Source organism: Homo sapiens, chromosome 1 (assembly GCF_000001405.40).
Source record: "Homo sapiens chromosome 1, GRCh38.p14 Primary Assembly".
In the NCBI taxonomy this organism is placed as follows: domain Eukaryota; kingdom Metazoa; phylum Chordata; class Mammalia; order Primates; family Hominidae; genus Homo; species Homo sapiens.
In genome coordinates this window covers 74,970,956-74,987,698 of record NC_000001.11, presented here as the reverse complement: position 1 = coordinate 74,987,698, position 16,743 = coordinate 74,970,956, and the positions used below count along the sequence as shown (strand labels likewise).

Sequence of the window (16,743 nt, the reverse complement as noted above, 5' to 3'; positions counted from 1 at the left end):
TCTGAAGCCTTCTCTCAACTCGTCAAAGTCATTCTCCGTCCAGCTTTGTTCCATTGCTGGTGAGGAACTGCTTTCCTTTGGAGGAGGAGAGGCGCTCTGCTTTTTAGAGTTTCCAGTTTTTCTGCTCTGTTTTTTCCCCATCTTTGTGATTTTATCTACTTTTGGTCTTTGATGATGGTGATGTACAGATGGGTTTTTGGTGTGGATGTCCTTTCTGTTTGTTAGTTTTCCTTCTAATAGACAGGACCCTCAGCTGCAGGTCTGTTGGAGTTTGCTAGAGGTCCACTCCAGACCCTGTTTGCCTGGGTATCAGCAGTGGTGGCTGCAGAACAGCAGTGGCTGTAGAACAGCAGATTTTCGTGAACTGCAAATGCTGCTGCCTGATTGGTCCTCTGGAAGTTTTGTCTCAGAGGAGTACCCAGCTGTGTGAGGTGTCAGTCTGCCCCTACTGGGGGTTGCCTCCCAGTTAGGCTGCTCAGGGGTCAGGGACCCACTTGAGGAGGCAGTCTGCCTGTTCTCAGATCTCCAGCTGTGTGCTGGGAGAACCACTACTCTCTTCAAAGCTATCAGACAGGGACATTTAAGTCTGCAGAGGTTACTGCTGTCTTTTGTTTGTCTGTGCCCTGCCCCCAGAGGTGGAGCCTACAGAGGAAGGCAGGCCTCCTTGAGCTGTGGTGGGCTCCACCCAGTTCCAGCTTCCCAGCTGCTTTGTTTACCTAAGCAAGCCTGGGCAATGGCAGGCGCCCCTCCCCCAGCCTCGCTGCTGCCTTGCAGTTTGATCTCAGACTGCTGTGCTAGCAATCAGTGAGACTCTCTGGGCGTAGGACCCTCCAAGCCAGGTGCGCGTTATAATATCCTGGTGTGCCATTTTTTAAGCCCATTGGAAAAGCTCAGTATTAGGGTGGGAGTGACCTGATTTTCCAGGTGCTGTCTGTCACCCCATTCTTTGACTAGGAAAGGGAACTCCCTGACCCCTTGCACTTCCTGAGTGAGGCAATGCCTCGCCCTGCTTTGGCTCATGCATGGTGCGCTGCACCCACTGTCCTGCACCCACTGTCTGGCACTCCCTAGTGAGATGAACCCGGTACCTCAGATGGAAATGCAGAAATCCCCCTTCTTCTGCATTGTTCATGCTGGGAGCTGTAGACCGGAGCTGTTCCTATTCGGTCATCTTGGCTCCCTCTAATCACTTTCATCATTTATAAAATAGAGATTAATAATAGTACCTAATTCATAGAGTTTTTGTGAGTATTGAAAAAAATATAAAACCCTTAGTACAGAACCTGGATAATAGTAAGTCCTTAGTAAATGGTGAAAAAAATTCATTAAATAAGCTTTGGAGAAGGAATACATACTGTATGTGAGGCACAGAGGAAAACAGAATTGTACTTTCTTCCTCCAAGGTGTTCACAGCTTCACAGATATTACTATATAGCTTTTTTCCCTCTGCCCAGTCCATTGGAATATTACATAGCTTTAGGAATGCTTTGATAGAAGTTTACCTAGAGTAATATTGCAATCCAGTTGAAGGGCATTTAGACTTTATAGGTCAAGAGAAGCTTTGAACTTCATCTCTAGGAAAAATAGAACTTATCAGTAGGGAAGAAAAGGTAGAACAAAATGGTATGCCAGCCAGGGGCAACAGCACATAAAAAGGCATGGAAGCATGAGGTAGTGTGACTGGAGTAGTGTAGTTGTTTTAGTCTTTTCTGGCTGCTATAACAAAATGTCATAGACCGGGTGGCTTATAAATAATGGAACTTTATTTCTCACAGTTCTGGAGGCTAGGAAGTTCAAGACCAAAGTACCAGCAGATTTGGTGTCTAGTGAGGGCCCACTTCCTGCAGAGAATGGTGCCTTCTCATTGTGTCCTCTCATGGTGGAAGGGGACAACTAGCTCTCTGGGATCTATTTTATGAGGGCACAAATCTCATTCATGAATGCTCTGTCCTCATGACCTAATCACCTCCCAAAGATCCTACCTCCAAATACTATGACATTGGGATTAAGTTTCAACATATAAATTCTGGGGGGACACAAATATTCAGATCATAGCAGTGGTCTAGGTTTGCAGGGTGGTTTGCTGCAGCTGAATCATAGGGTTAATCTAAGACATCTTTCCTGATGGTGACGGAAAATCATTGAAAAATTTTATGTAGACAAATGAAACCAGATTTGGTTTGTAGCTCAGCAATCAGAGAGGTAGGAGGACATCTGAAATTTGAATGAAATTTGCTTGAGTTTCAAAACACAGTAATTGTAGTCCTGTGTCCTTCCCTATCTCTCTGGGAATTTGGCGGAAAAGTAGGGAAGAGAAGGGTTGTTGGATTTCCTAGGCCTTTCTGGCTCAAAGTTTCTGCTTCTACTGTACTAATGCAGTTCATGGAACCCCATCTTTTCTTGTACATATCCTTAAACTATATCTGTGAAACAAGATGTTGAATTTAGTTCTCTTCTTTCTCTTTCTTCTTTCTCTTTCAGGAAATAACCACTTCGAATTTATCCTATTTTACCATGAAGAATACTTGTTGGAAGAGAAAAGAATACTTTTTGTCTCCTGCCAAGCTAAAATCCATCTGATGGAAGTGGGGTAAGGAATGAATTGGAGAAGATAAAGATAACAGGCAAGCAGACCAGGTAGGAGGTTGTTATCAAACAGCAAAATACTGAGGGCTTGGAGTAAGGCAGAGGCAGTGGCAGTAGGAATGGTGAGGAAAGAATGTATTTGAAGTATATATTTATGAGATTGAATCCATGGGACTGGACCTAGTGCCTAAATACACCTGGGGCAATGATAGAGAGGAATGTGATATGGAGAGGTGGGGAAGGAATTGCTAAGAAGGGATATAGGGTTTTGTTTGTAATTTGGAATTTTGTTTGGGACAATTGAACAGTTAGGGGTGGCATTCACTGTTGTTTGAGATACAGAAAGTGCGTATTTAGAGAGAAAATAAGTTCAGTTTTGGGCAAGATGGGTTTGAAGTACTAAATGGAGATATTACTAAAGTACTTAGACTTGTGTATCCAAAATTTAGAAGAATGATCTGGGCTTGAGAAGATAGCTTTGGGATTTTGGGGATATGCTCTCATGTAAGTCCAGGAAACCCAGCTACAGGTTCTTAACCAAATAGGAAGGTATTTTTCTTACATAACAAGAAGCCCAGAGTTAGACAGTCCAGGATTAGTGCGGTGGTTTCAAGATTTCACCAGTGTTTCAGGCTCTTTTTTTAATCTTTCTGCTCTATCAGCTTTAGTATCTTTGGTTAGTTTTTCTAGAAGCAGACTACAAGATAGGAATTTAGGTTATGAAATTCATTAAGAGAGTGTTCTTTGGGAAAAATATATAAGGGAAAGTGTAAGGCAGGAGAGAGTGGGGGAAGAGAGCAGGCAGTCTCTGATCAACTAACTAAATATTTAAAAGTGGGCCATAGATGAACCAATGAATGTGCCATGAACCAAGGGTTATGAGCAATCCAATTCTGTGAACAAGAAAAATCAAAAGACTAGATGAAGAGATGAAGGAGCCCAAGGAATATAAGGATCTTCTTTCAAGCAACTAGACTTTGAAAGGAAAGAACGAGGGAGATGGAGAAGAATGTCAGGGGAGATGGATTAAAAGAGGCTTTTAACTAGTAGAACTCTAAGAAAATTTGCTAAAAGGAAAGAGGTAGTAGAGAGGGAAGATGGAAAATTTTAAATTGAGAGAAATTAATTGGTTGAGTGATATCACAGAGTTAGGAGGGAATCCAGAGTATAGATGAAAAGATTAGCTTTGCACATAGGGAAGGACTTCTTTTTACTGCTCCAAGAGGAAAAGACATAAAAATAAGTGGGTTTACATATAAATTTATGATGGTGGCAAGTGAGGAGCTTAGAAATTCCTACTTCATTGCATTTAAATTTATTTTCCTAGTAAAACACAGAAAAGGTCATCTGTTGAGCACGTGTGTGTGGAGTAGGAGGTATCAGTGATGGTGGGATGAGGAAGAGATATAGAAGGCTTAAGAGTGGTGAAAATTTGAAATAGCTGCTGAAAGAGAAGGAGAGATATCTAATCAGAGCTGCCAAGAAACACTGCTTGGCAGCATTTGAATGCCAGCTGAGGCTGAAGATCATAAGCTTGTAGAAGTAGCAACTCTGGTTGAATGGCTTTCTCCAGCAATGCTTTACAGTTGGGGATGACATCTGGTAGATGAGTAGGGCTATTAAATGCAGAGAAATTACACGCATTGATTCATATTCTAGTTCAGGTTGCTAAATACCTTTAAGTTGTACACCACAAAGGAAATAAAGATATACATAAATTTCTGCACCTGTATTTATGCAGCTAAAGAGTACACGATGGTTTGGTTTGGGTGGGTTTAGGAATCAGCCAATAGATGTCTTAACATCTCCTTTGGTTATTTGGTGTTGAAGCTATTATTAATTATGGTTATTTGGTATTGAAGCTATTATACATTATGGCTTAGGGACTAAATGGGGTCACAGAGATGGATGAATCTTTAAGAGTAAGTTCAAAGAACAACAATAGCAACAACAACGAAGTTCTCCATTCTTCAAACTGATTTTGGATATGCTTGTGTGTCCCTGATATTCCTATGGCCCAGAACTTTCTAATTCATTCAGAATTCTGTGACTAGATAAATCTCTCTAAAACACATCACTGTCCAGAAACCTTTAGTGGCTTTCCATTGCCTGTAGTATAAGATCTAAACGTCTTAGCCTGATGATTTCAAGGCTCTCCATAATTCGGCCTCAACCTACTTTTCATTGTTTTCCCACTGCTTCCTATATCCAGAAAGTATAGGTTAGTGGTTAGAAGCACAGTCTGCATTTGTATTTGAACCCAGCTTTTCAGATTACCAGCTGTGTGATCTTAAGGAATTTATCTCTCGTAGTTCTAATTTTCTTATTAGTAACATAGGGAAAATAGTACATACCTGATAGGATTATGAAGATTAAATGAAATAATAAATTGTGCTTAGTACAATGCCTGGAGTAGAGAATATTTACAATATTTTCAGAACTTTTAATTAACTTGCATTAGTTTATTTTCACATTGCTATAAAGATGCTACCTGAGACCAGGTAAGTTATAAAGAAAGGAGATTTAATTCACTCCGTTCTGCATGGCTGGAGAGGCCTCAGGGAACTTACAATCATAGCAAAAGGTGAAGTAAGGCATGTCTTACATGGCTGCAGGAGAGAGACAGTGAGGAAATGCCACACTTTAAAACCATCAGCCCTTGTGAGAACTCCCTCACTATCATGAGAACAGCAGGGGAAACTGACCCCATGATCCAATCACCTCCCACCAGTTTCCTCCCTTGAGATGAGATTTGGGTGGGGACACAGAGCCAAACGATATCATAACTCAACTTACATAGTGTTTGCACACTGTTCTACATATTTTGTAAGCTCATTTAATCCTTATAACAACCCCCTGAAATAGGTAATATTATCCCAACTTTACAGATGAGAAAACTGAGAAATAGGAAAGTTAATTAGTTTACTATCTTAAAAGCTAGTAAGGGCCAGAAACATGTTTTAAACCCAAGGAGTCTGTTTTCAGAGGCAATGCTTTTAATCACTAAGCTGTTTCCTTTCAATAAACAGCAACTATTATTATTATTATTACTCAACTTACTGTCCCTTAAACATGTCACGTGTGTTTATTTCTACCTCTGTTACTATTCATATCATCCACTATGCCATTAAAGCACTAAAGACCCCTTCCTCCCTTTCTACCTAAATCTTCTTAATTTCTTTCTTTTCTTTCTTTCTTTTCTTTTCTTTTCTTTTTTTTTTTTTTTTTTTTGAGACAGTCTTGCTCTGTCACCCAGACTGGAGGAGTGCAATGATGCAATCTTGGCTCACTGAAACCTCCACCTCTTGGCTTCAAGTGATTCTCCTGCCTCAGCCTCCTGAGTAGCTGGTATTACAGGCATGCACCACCATGCCTGGCTTTTTTTTTTTTTTTTTTGTATTTTTAGAAGAGACAGTGTTTCACCATGTTGGTCTTGAACTCCTGACCTCAGGTGATCCACCCGCCTCAGCCTCCCAAAGTGCTGGGATTACAGGCGTGAACCACTACACATAGCCACAATCTTCTTAATTTCTAATGACCATCTCAATGCCTGATCCTTTCATGCAACTTGCCATGATTCCTCAGTTACCAGTGATCCTTTTCCTCTCTGAATCCTTGACACTTATTGTCTACCAGTTGGCACTGTGTTTTAATAGTATCTATATTGCTTTAGATAGTTATTAATATTTAATCTGTCTTTGGTTTTTAGATGATATTTTTGAAGGTGGGAACAATATGTTATCTTCTTTGCACCTTTAGCACTATTTAATGGGCAGTTCTTCCAAATTTATCATGAGAGGACCCAGATTCAAGTCCTAGCCCTGAGAGTTAATAAACCTAGTGACTTAAGACTAATTACTTAACCTCTTTGAAACTTAAAGACTATATCTGTGAAATGATGTTAGAAACCTATCTGTCTTAGAGAGTTATTATGGGGATTAAAAGAAAAGCCTAATTGAAAAAGTCATGAGGTTCCATGCGAAAGTTAGATGTTTTATGCATAACATGCTCTTTGTAAATACATGTTAAGAAAATGAATAAATGAATTAGTGGATGTTTAAAGGAAGAAAAGAAATCAAATGAGCTCTACCACTTTTACTCTGTATTATGTTGAGCTAATCCAAACTTAAACAACTTGAGCATCCTTTTTCACCTGTAAAGCAGAGATAAGAAGTTAAGTATATAGGACACTCTGAAGAAATACAGGCCTTTACAGCTTTCAGCTTTGGAATGAAGCATGAGTGTCTCCAGGATAGAGAAGAAAGGGAAGCAGGATATAGATATACAAGGAAATTTGGTAGGCTATAAAGTACAAACTCTTCAACTTACCTTTTTGCTTAAGCTAAGCTCTGTCTATGCCTTTAGCATATGAAGAATGGGCTAAAATTCCATGGATTCATATTTTTGACAAATACCTCAGTGACTAGTGAATCCGAAGTTCCTTTCTTGGCTCCAGGGTAAAGAATTCCAGCCAAATTTTTCTCTTGAAAGTTCAGCTTGAATTTAAATTTCCTACCCACAATAAAAGTCTATCCAAGATTTCACATGACTGACATGTAGCATTTTGAGATTGTCTGGCCACATAACCATGGATTTCTAAATAGTATGTGAAAGTTCTTGACTCTTAGGCTTACTGGAATAAGTCCAGCCACATTTACATTATTTTCTCTTCCTGCTAATTCTTCCAAAATAAACCATCAGTTGCTAAATTCTTAGAGCTTATGACATGTGCTTATATCTCAGGTGTCTGTCACCTTTTTGTAGTACAGGATTTCATGATCTAATCATCCTGTGGCCACTTGCTATTTCCCTTTCTATCCTATTCTGATGGCTAATCCCTATGTTTTACTCTAGCCTCTCTATTCTTCTGCTTAGAATCTGGCCAGGACTTTTTCTTCCTTTCTCAGCTTTAATACAAATTCTGTAACCTATGTGGAGTGGGAATGATGTGGTTAAATAATGTGGAAAGAGAAAAGACTTCAGCTACCAGTGGAAAAGTTGGGGATGATATGGTTAAAAAAACTTTTGAAATTTTTTTCCTTATTTGAAAATAAGGGAAATAAAGCCACCTTAGAAGAAAATGATTTTGAGTTGTGGGAGAGAGTCCTCCACATTGAACTTAGCTAAAAAGAAATGCTTCTTTTATCAGGACCTGCCTTCCCTATTCGCATTCATGATCTATAATTATTTGCAGGCTCATCACAGTCCATCATAGTCTTGTACTATTTAGAGTCTCTCTCTCTCTCTCCTTCCTTAAGAGTAAGACCTGAAGAGAGACTATTTCAGCCTTTCTAAAGTTGTCTAAAGGCCAGGAGAGTGATTACAGTGTTAGGGACAACTCTTTTTGCTTCAGTTCCCTACTTAACCTCCACCAGATGTGGCCAGTTTGCTGAATTGACCCTTGTTATGGCTCTGGTACTGGGATAGTCTGTCCTCTTTCCCCTTGCTGCTTCTACTGAAGATGAAGTCTAAACTTGAATCCTAGACAGGAGGCTAGAGATCCTAATCTCTTCATTGGGTCTCAGCTAGCCACTTTCTCTAGAACTGAGTTTGATTTCTCTTTAAATTATTCAATCCCCAAATTTAAATCTTAATCACCTACTTGGTATGAGAACCACTACTGCTTAGAACTCTTAAACTTAATGGAATGTGAGTAGAAGTAATGTACACTACTTCCAGGCCTGGCCCATAAAACCTTCTGTGCAGGTCTACGTTCTCTGTCATGTATGAATTTCTCTATTTCTGTGTAGTTTTTTGGTCCATTTTGCTGTATATATTTTGAGGCTATGTTATTGGGTACATAAAAATTTAGAATTTTAACATTCTAAAGGGTAGATTAACCCTTTCATCATTGTGAAATATCATTTTTTCTCAGTTTGTTTTGCTGTCATATCTAATCTTTCTAGTTTTAGTATAGGTAAACCAGCTTTATTTTGATTAGTGTTTGATGGTATATTTCTCCCGTTTTTACTTTCAATCTTTCCATATGCATATATTTAAATTGTATTTCTTGTAAGCAGCATTATGTCTCTTTTAAGCATTACATAGTTGTTAGATTTTTTTTCATGTTCAATAATCTTTGTTTTTCTGATTGGGGTATTCATTTATATTTAATGTAATTAATAATATATTTGGATTAAAAAGTGTCTATAATCTTATTGTTTTTCTATTTATTTAACCTCTCCTATGTTCATTTTCCTCTCTTCTCTTGCCTTCTTTGGATTAATTGGATTGATTCATTTTTATTATTTCACTTTCCACTTTTGTTATATAATATGTTATCACATTTCTTTCTTTTTTTTTTTTTAAGTGGTGTTTCCCCCTCAACACTTTGAAGATATTATTCCATACCCTTCTAGCTTCCATTATTTCTATCAAAAGTTACATCGTGTGACTTACTGTTGCTTTGTTTTAAAGTAATGAAGTTTTCTCCTGTCTGCCTTTAAGATTTTTTCTTGCCCAGGCCAGGTGGCTCATGCCTGTAATCGCAGCACTATGTAATGCTTAGAAGAGACATAATGCTGGTTAGTGAATTGCTTGACTGTATTAATCAACAATTTACAACTTGTGTCTAAAACTCTAGTATTTAGACACCCTATAAGTGTGTTTCTATTTTTTGTTAATTCGTTCTTCTCATTTGTAGTCAAATCTCGTTTGTTTTAGTTTTTTTTTTTTTTTTTGTACGCTTGGTTATTTTTATTTAAGTGCTGAGCATTTGTTCTCTAAGTTTAAATGATGTTTTCTTCCTCCAGAGAGGATTTACTTTTACTTTTGGCAAGCAATCTAATTAGGAGATCACCTTATTCCAGTAAAGATTGAGATGATTCAAAGCTGGGCTTCAGTTCTTTTGAGGGTTCTTCTATTTCTTTTACTTTAGCAAGTAACCCTTCAGATTCCTAATTAAATGCTAGAAGTTTTTAATGGCCCCACTTACTTGGAACTCCTTGAACTCTTACATTTTGTGCCTCTGAATTATGATTGTTGAAAGCTTTGATTAGCTTCTCAAACTCTTAGGCTCTCAGATACTGTATTCTCATTTGGTACTAGTATTTACCTCAAGGCAAAAGTGGCTTCAAATTCTAGGCTCCTTTTTCTTGGCGTCTCCCTCTTAATTTTGGCCTCACAAATTCTCACTGCCTTGGTCTCTAATACTGTCTAATTCATATTTATTTATTTATTTATGTAAGTAAATAAGTCAGGTTTTTTTGTTTTTGTTTTTTTTCTTAAGACGGAGTCTCACTCTGTTGCCCAGGCTGGAGTGCAGTGGCGCGATCTCCGCTCACTGCAAGCTCTACCTCCCGGGTTCACGCCATTCTCCTGCCTCAGCCTCCCTAGTAGCTGGGACTACAGGCGCCTGCCACCATGCCGGCTAATTTTTTTTGTATTTTTAGTAGAGACGGGATTTCACCGTGTTAGCCGGGATGGTCTCGATCTCCTGACCTTGTGATCTGCCCACCTCAGCCTCCCAAAGTGCTGAGATTACAGGCTTGAGCCACCGCGCCTGGCCATAAGTCAGGGTCTTGCTCTGTCACCCAGGCTGGAAAACAGTGGCGCCATCATGGCTTACTGCAGCCTTGACTTCCTGAGGCAATCCTCCCACTTCAGCCTCCAGGGTAATTGGGACTACAGGCAAGTGCCACCATGCCTGGCCAATTTTTTTTTCTTCTCTAACAGTGCCTAATTCTTTCCTTTCTTTAGCAACTAGGTTTTTCTCTTACTCATCTTTCACATGGCGCAACATGGCTGTCCTCACTCTGATCTAATTCAACTGCTATCACCAATTACTACATTCTCTATTTCTTATTGATTCAAATTATTCATTCATTCATGGCTAACCAAAGAATTGGTCTTGGACCTGGTGTTCATCCTTGTTTAATAAGCTGTGGCCATGATGTGGGTCATATGGCACATAGGAATGCTTTCTTCAGGCTCTCTGAGAGAGAAATTAAATCCAGGAAAAGGAATTAGGTGTGTGGGACAAATTATGTTCAGTACATCTAGGCTGAACTTTTTTTAGGATTCAGACACATATGGACAGAGTGGAATGTTAAAAAGGATAAAATGAATGACAGATAAACAACCAGATTCACCAAAGTAAAGGACAAGGACAGTACCATAGTTTCTCCTGACTACTCAATATCACTTATAAATTGCTACGTATCTCCATATAATTAGTTATTAAACAGTTAAATCCAAACATAATTAAATAATATTTAAGAGGAGGAAAACATTAAGATATCTTCTTTGCACATTTATTGATAAGGGGATATTATATGCATATAGAAATATTTTGATAAATATATTGATAGTAAATGTCATGCTTGTATAAATAAATCATTCAGTATGGTCTTATTTGAATTTAATACAAGAAAAACTGAAGTGAAACTACAGGGCCACCACATTTAGTTGTTGAGATTATAATATGCATGGTGATCCTGGAGTTGGGCCATGAAAAAGCTGCATATTTCAAATTTCAACCATGTGTTGCAGTCCCTTCAACTTCAAATACATATTTCTGCTTGATAAGCAGCATTATTTCACAAAAAATTCCTCCAACATTACAAATAAAGATTATGGAAAAAGTTTTAAATGAAATGTTTTCATATTCTGTATTATGCTGCTCACACTTTCTCTCTCAGTTTTTGCATGATATATTACTGTTTGTTCATTGCCAAGTTTAATAGCCATTAAATTAGCCTTCTGTCTTTTACCATGGCTCCTTCATTCCTGAATTCTTGATTGACTTGCCTACTAATAATTTAGATAGTGACTGGGTCTTTTACAGTAGCTTATAGCTGCTACATTCCCTCTGTTTTTTATTTTTAAAAATATGCATCTATTTTAATTCTTGAAAGATATCTTACCTGGATATCGTATTCTTAGGTAATACCTTCTGTCTCTCAAAACTTTGTAGATATTGCTCAAAAATTTTTTGGCAACCAATGCTATGGAGATGTCTGAAGCTAATGTGACTTTTTTTTTTCCTGCAGGGAATTCCTGAAGAGTTTTTCTTATTTTTGAAATTCAATAACAACTAAAGTATATTTTTTGTTGATCATTGTATTTTCACCTGAAATATTGTCTTTTAGATACACAGATTTAAGTTTTCCTTTATTTCTGATACGTTGTCTTGTATTATATCTTTGGATATATTTTGGTTTTTATTTTGGAGATTATATAGTTCAGAATGATTTATTATATCTTCATTGTTGTCTTCACCTGTCCTTCATATCTATAATATTTTCTTTAATTGTTTTAATGTTTTGGCTTTGTCCTTTGTATTTGCTTGATTACCTCAAGCTTTCCCTCTATTTTAGTAATTCTATTTTTTCTTGCAGTCTCCAATTTATTTCATAGTTCTCTAAAAAAGCTGTTTTTTTCTTATTCTGCAATCTCCCATTTTATCTCATCTTTTAAGTTGATGAAGAACTTATTTTATTCTTATTTTATTATGTTCTTCTATAGCACTCAATGAATTTTTTCCTACCCTCTGAGTTACATTTGTTCCTGAAAAGGCTATTGACCTCCATTTTGTTATTATTACTTCTTTACCCTTATTGTTTTTACTGTTTTACTTCTATAGTATGGTAACTATAATTGTTATATCATTTACCTGCATAAAATATTGCTTATGCTGAACAAAGCTATCATTTTTTCTAGACATTCTATTTGCTTTTATATGCTATTAATGAATTTTTCTTGATTTTAGTTCATTTTCCCCTCTGAGCTCAATTTTTGAGCTGGGTAGTTTGTATTCCATCCACTTTTCTGTGGTTAGAGTGCATCGGAAGATTTCTGGAATTGATTAGAGTTCAGCCAATGTTGTATGAAGTTTTGCTCTCCTGAGATTTTGTAAAATATACTGTATCAAAATTCACTTTACCTTATCACAAATATATCCTATTCATATGGTGAGGAGATAACCTAGGGCTTTGGTAACTCCCCCAATTTAGTAAGAATTCCCACAGTCTTTGTTTCTATTTAGTAGCCCTAAACATTTCTCCAATTTTCCCAGTCTCTAATCCATCCCTCTCCACCTGTACCTCCTACCCTCTCTTCCCAGCCAATCATGAGATATAAAAAGAGATAAAATGATATAAATTCAGTTTACTCATCTCCAGATTTGGGATGGTTAGTGAGAAATCACAGAATTCTTCAAATCATCAGTACTGATTTTGCAGCATTAGGAGCCACCTGGTGCTGGAAAGGCACAGTGTATATAAAAGCTCTAAGAAGACCTCCACTAAATAAATCAGCTTGATTTTGCTAAATTCATCATTTCCTATATTTATTAATTCTCTTATTTAGGAGAATGCCAAATATTAGTTTGGAAAACTTGATTTATGAAATCTCCTGAGTCCATATACTCTCTTGATACAGGAAGGGGCAGCCCCAGTGTGTGGTACAGAAGACTAGATATATAAAATATATTGATCCTTGAAACACCAGGATGTTAGGCTTCTACTTGTTGAGGGGTACATCAAAATATTGCTAGTTTGATCTTAACACTGGGACTTTTGGACCACTGGTCTATAAACTTGTTTACTCAAGGTAAGGGGTTCCTGATTTCCTCCTCCAGTCCTTCTAGAGTAGGCAGACTAGAGGGCTTGGAAATAAATCATGAAAATAATGAAGATTTTGAGCTTGAGTGCTTAGTCTATTTTTTCCTGACCTGAAGCTGTGTGGGTTGGGGATGAGGGAAAAATTTACATGGGTTACAGTCTAGTGGGACATTATGGATAGTGCCTCATGTCTAGATATCCACTGGCATCATTTTCTGGATATTGACTGAGAGTAAAAAAAGTCAGGGAATCAGTCTAAGCTGTATTCTAGAGAGGATGGAGGGTTGAAACTAGAGAAGTCAAATTCCAAAGGCTAAACATTGTTGGGAACAGAAGTTTAAGACAGGATTTAGGAGTTCAACAGATGCTGGAACACAGTAAGAAGTAAGAGCAAATGTGGAAGGTGAATGTAACTAAGAGTAAAAAATACAGTTGTTTGGCATTGGGCTGGGGTGCCTGAGACTCATGTCCTTGGGTAGGTCACTCCTGTGCTATGGAGTGTAGGAATATTTGCTGTTAATAAACTCTGTTTTAAGTTGTTTCACTATATAAACTCTGCCTGTGTCTGATGGGCATGACTATTTCAGTTAATACTTGGGTAGTCAAGCAATACAAGATTTTGCAGTTACTAGTTTACCCTGGATGTAGCTGCCAATTGCATTTTTTTTCCAATGGCTTGGCATTTATACAATGAATATATATATATATGAGGCAGCTGTCACAGTTCTTTGCCAACAGTAGATTTCTCAGTAAGTTTTTGATGAATTCAAGGTATTTCCGGAAACTGTTGCATATTCAGTTACCACTCAAATTCACATAACAATAGGTTGGGGTGCTAATTCAATAAATCAATTGCTGGTTTATGTCTTATGCCACTCATTGTGCCAGGATGTGGACATATGGAGTTGAACAAGATATGGGTTCTGCCCTCATAGAGCTATTTTAGAACCCTAAGAGAGAACATAGTATTGATTTATCAGAGTCATTGCTGAACACTCCTTAAGAATACTTGAAAAGTTTTGTTTAACATGACGTCTTAGAGCAACAGTTCTGAAGCTTGGTTTCACAATAGAAACACCTGAAGAATTGATACTGGGGCCCCATTTCAGGACACTTAAATCAGAATTCTTGGGTTTGGGCTTATGCATCAGTCAGCATTCTTTAAAAAACTTCCTCGGTTCAGCCCATGTTGAGAACCCATGTATTAGAAGGAAAATACAAAGGATCAATTGAGAAACACTAAAACAGCAAAATGAGTGAACTGTGTACTGGATTTTATAATAAAATATTTAAGCATATCTATGCATATGAATACAACAAACAACAAATATAATGTATAGTCATCAATCACCAATATCTCTTGAGTAGGATATTACTGGTAGAAATTCATAGCTAGTTTTGATGGAGACAGTGTCTCTGTCCTGTTTTTTTATCCACATTGTTTCAATACTTTTCTGTCTTCTATTTCTGTTTTCTATTTCATCTTACCCTTTATCATTTACATTTGTATGAAATTCTTACTGCGAAGTACTTTCACTCATTCTGCAACTGCAAAAATTCAGTCACTGAAATATAAACCTGGGTTCTTAATTCTGGCTTAATTTTCATCACCTGGAGAGCTTTTAAAATGTGTTGATGACTGAGCTTCACCCCACACAACTTAAATCAGTCTCTAGGAGTGAGACTGTTATTAGTATTTTGTTTCAGAATAGATGATTCTGTGTACTGGTGGTGTTAAAAACCCTAGTGTGGTAGACTGTTAAAACATGGCCTCTCAAGAATTAAGCTTCTTGTGTCCACAAACTTATGCAATGTGACTTCTGCCATCAACAGGTGAAGTCTATTTTCCTACCTTGAATATAGACCACATAGCTGACCCTCCAGGTGAATGCTGCTTGTAAGTGCAAAGTGCAGGTGATGTCAGCAGAGGAGCCACCCAGCCAAACCCTCAGAATAGTGAAAAGCAATAAAGCGTTTTTTTGTTGTTGTTTGTTTGTTTTGTTTTGTTTTTTCTTAAAGCCATTAGGTTTGGAGGTGGTTTGTTACCCAGTGAAGTCTGACTGAAATATACTACTATAGAAGCTTTTTGTTATAAGCTTTGATATAAACAGCTATTTTTGATTTTTTACGTCTATTTTTATTGTTATTGCAAGAACCAATCTAACAATTACCTCTGAAGTTCCTTCTATCCTCAGAATTCTCCTTCAGACTCTCTTATTCCTGAAAGAATGAGATTCAGGCAGAAAAAGAAGAGTTTCACTTCATTGTACAAATGCCTTCCTGTTTTCCTCCAGGGTACTTTTTAAGTCTAATTACCAAATGTTTCCTTTACAACTATAAAGATCAAAGGAGCCACCTGCCCCTGGGGCTATGGCCTAGGCGTTTCATGCACACTACATGTGGATTGCATCAACACGTCCTGAAATTTGCTGAAACTCAGTTTCACAAGTTCAGGTCCAGAAATTTAAAAAAAAAAAACAAAAAACTTGCATCAGCAAGATGGCCACACTTAGGCAGATCCAGAAACAACCTGAAATCTCTAATCAATTTGCTTAGTGTGCATCATGTAAAAGAGTTGTAGTTTGCACCTTCACTGTGCTATCAGTGATGAAAATTACTATAATTTGCCTTAATACTAAAATCAAGTATTTTAACAGTTCTGACTAGAATGTCTTCCTTGTGAAATCAGCAGGTTGTCCATATCATTACCTGGTAGATAAATCTAGGTTGGTCGGGGACAGTGTCATGGATGTGGAGTCCAAAGACATGGCTTTGACACTTAATTCTGCTGCTTACCTATATGTAACCTTGAGCAAATTACTAAATTTCTTTTTATCTTAATTGCCTCATCTACATTAAGACAAAAATAACTACCTTCAGAATATATATAAGGATCAAAAAAGGTAACATATATCTCCTTTTGTAATCTTTAAAGCTTAACTTAAATGTAAGGTGTTATTGCTTTTGTTGGTACAGATAGCACCAGAAAAGAAGAAATATGGAAAAAATTGTTTGACAACAGCTGAGAAAGTTTCTCATATTCTCACAGCATTAGGGAATGTGAATGCTTTATGAGGCTCCACAGTTGCCTTTAATCTTTGAATCTCAAAGCACCTTGCTTTCATAGAGCCCATATAAACTCTATGAAATACATTTGTTACTCCTTAAATTTCCTTTTACACAGTAAACCTTTTCCTAGACATACAGTAAATTTAAGCCTAACTTAAGGGCCCTCACTTAAGGGCCCTCAAAATTGTGAATGAATAAAGAGAGGTTCTGATCCTTTTTTATGTCATAATTTTCACATCTTATTTAAAATGTGCAAGTCTCTTGATCTTGTCTGTCTTCTCTCAAAGCCTGTCCCTTGATGCTTTGATGTAGTAAACATGCCTATGAAACTCAAATCCTATACAGGTGGCAGTCTTTTCATTCCTTGCATGTTAGGAGTAGGGATTGGAGATAATTTATTAATCTTTTTCTCCTTTAAATGTCTGAAAGATGCCCATTAAAAATATGTGAATCAGATTCTTATACTACCCAAGTTGAATCCTGGTTGGAATGAGATCCCTTGCAGGTTGCATTTAACTCTTTGGCT

The 16,743-nt window shown here is 37.4% G+C and overlaps 1 annotated feature.

Annotated features, from left to right (window-relative positions):
• Positions 243-742: an enhancer, noted in NCBI's record as "H3K4me1 hESC enhancer chr1:75452641-75453140 (GRCh37/hg19 assembly coordinates)". NCBI's record gives its function as "activates a minimal SCP1, AML or CMV promoter by ChIP-STARR-seq in primed H9 embryonic stem cells {active_cell/tissue: H9 hESC(primed)}" and the evidence as "EXISTENCE:reporter gene assay evidence [ECO:0000049][PMID:30033119]".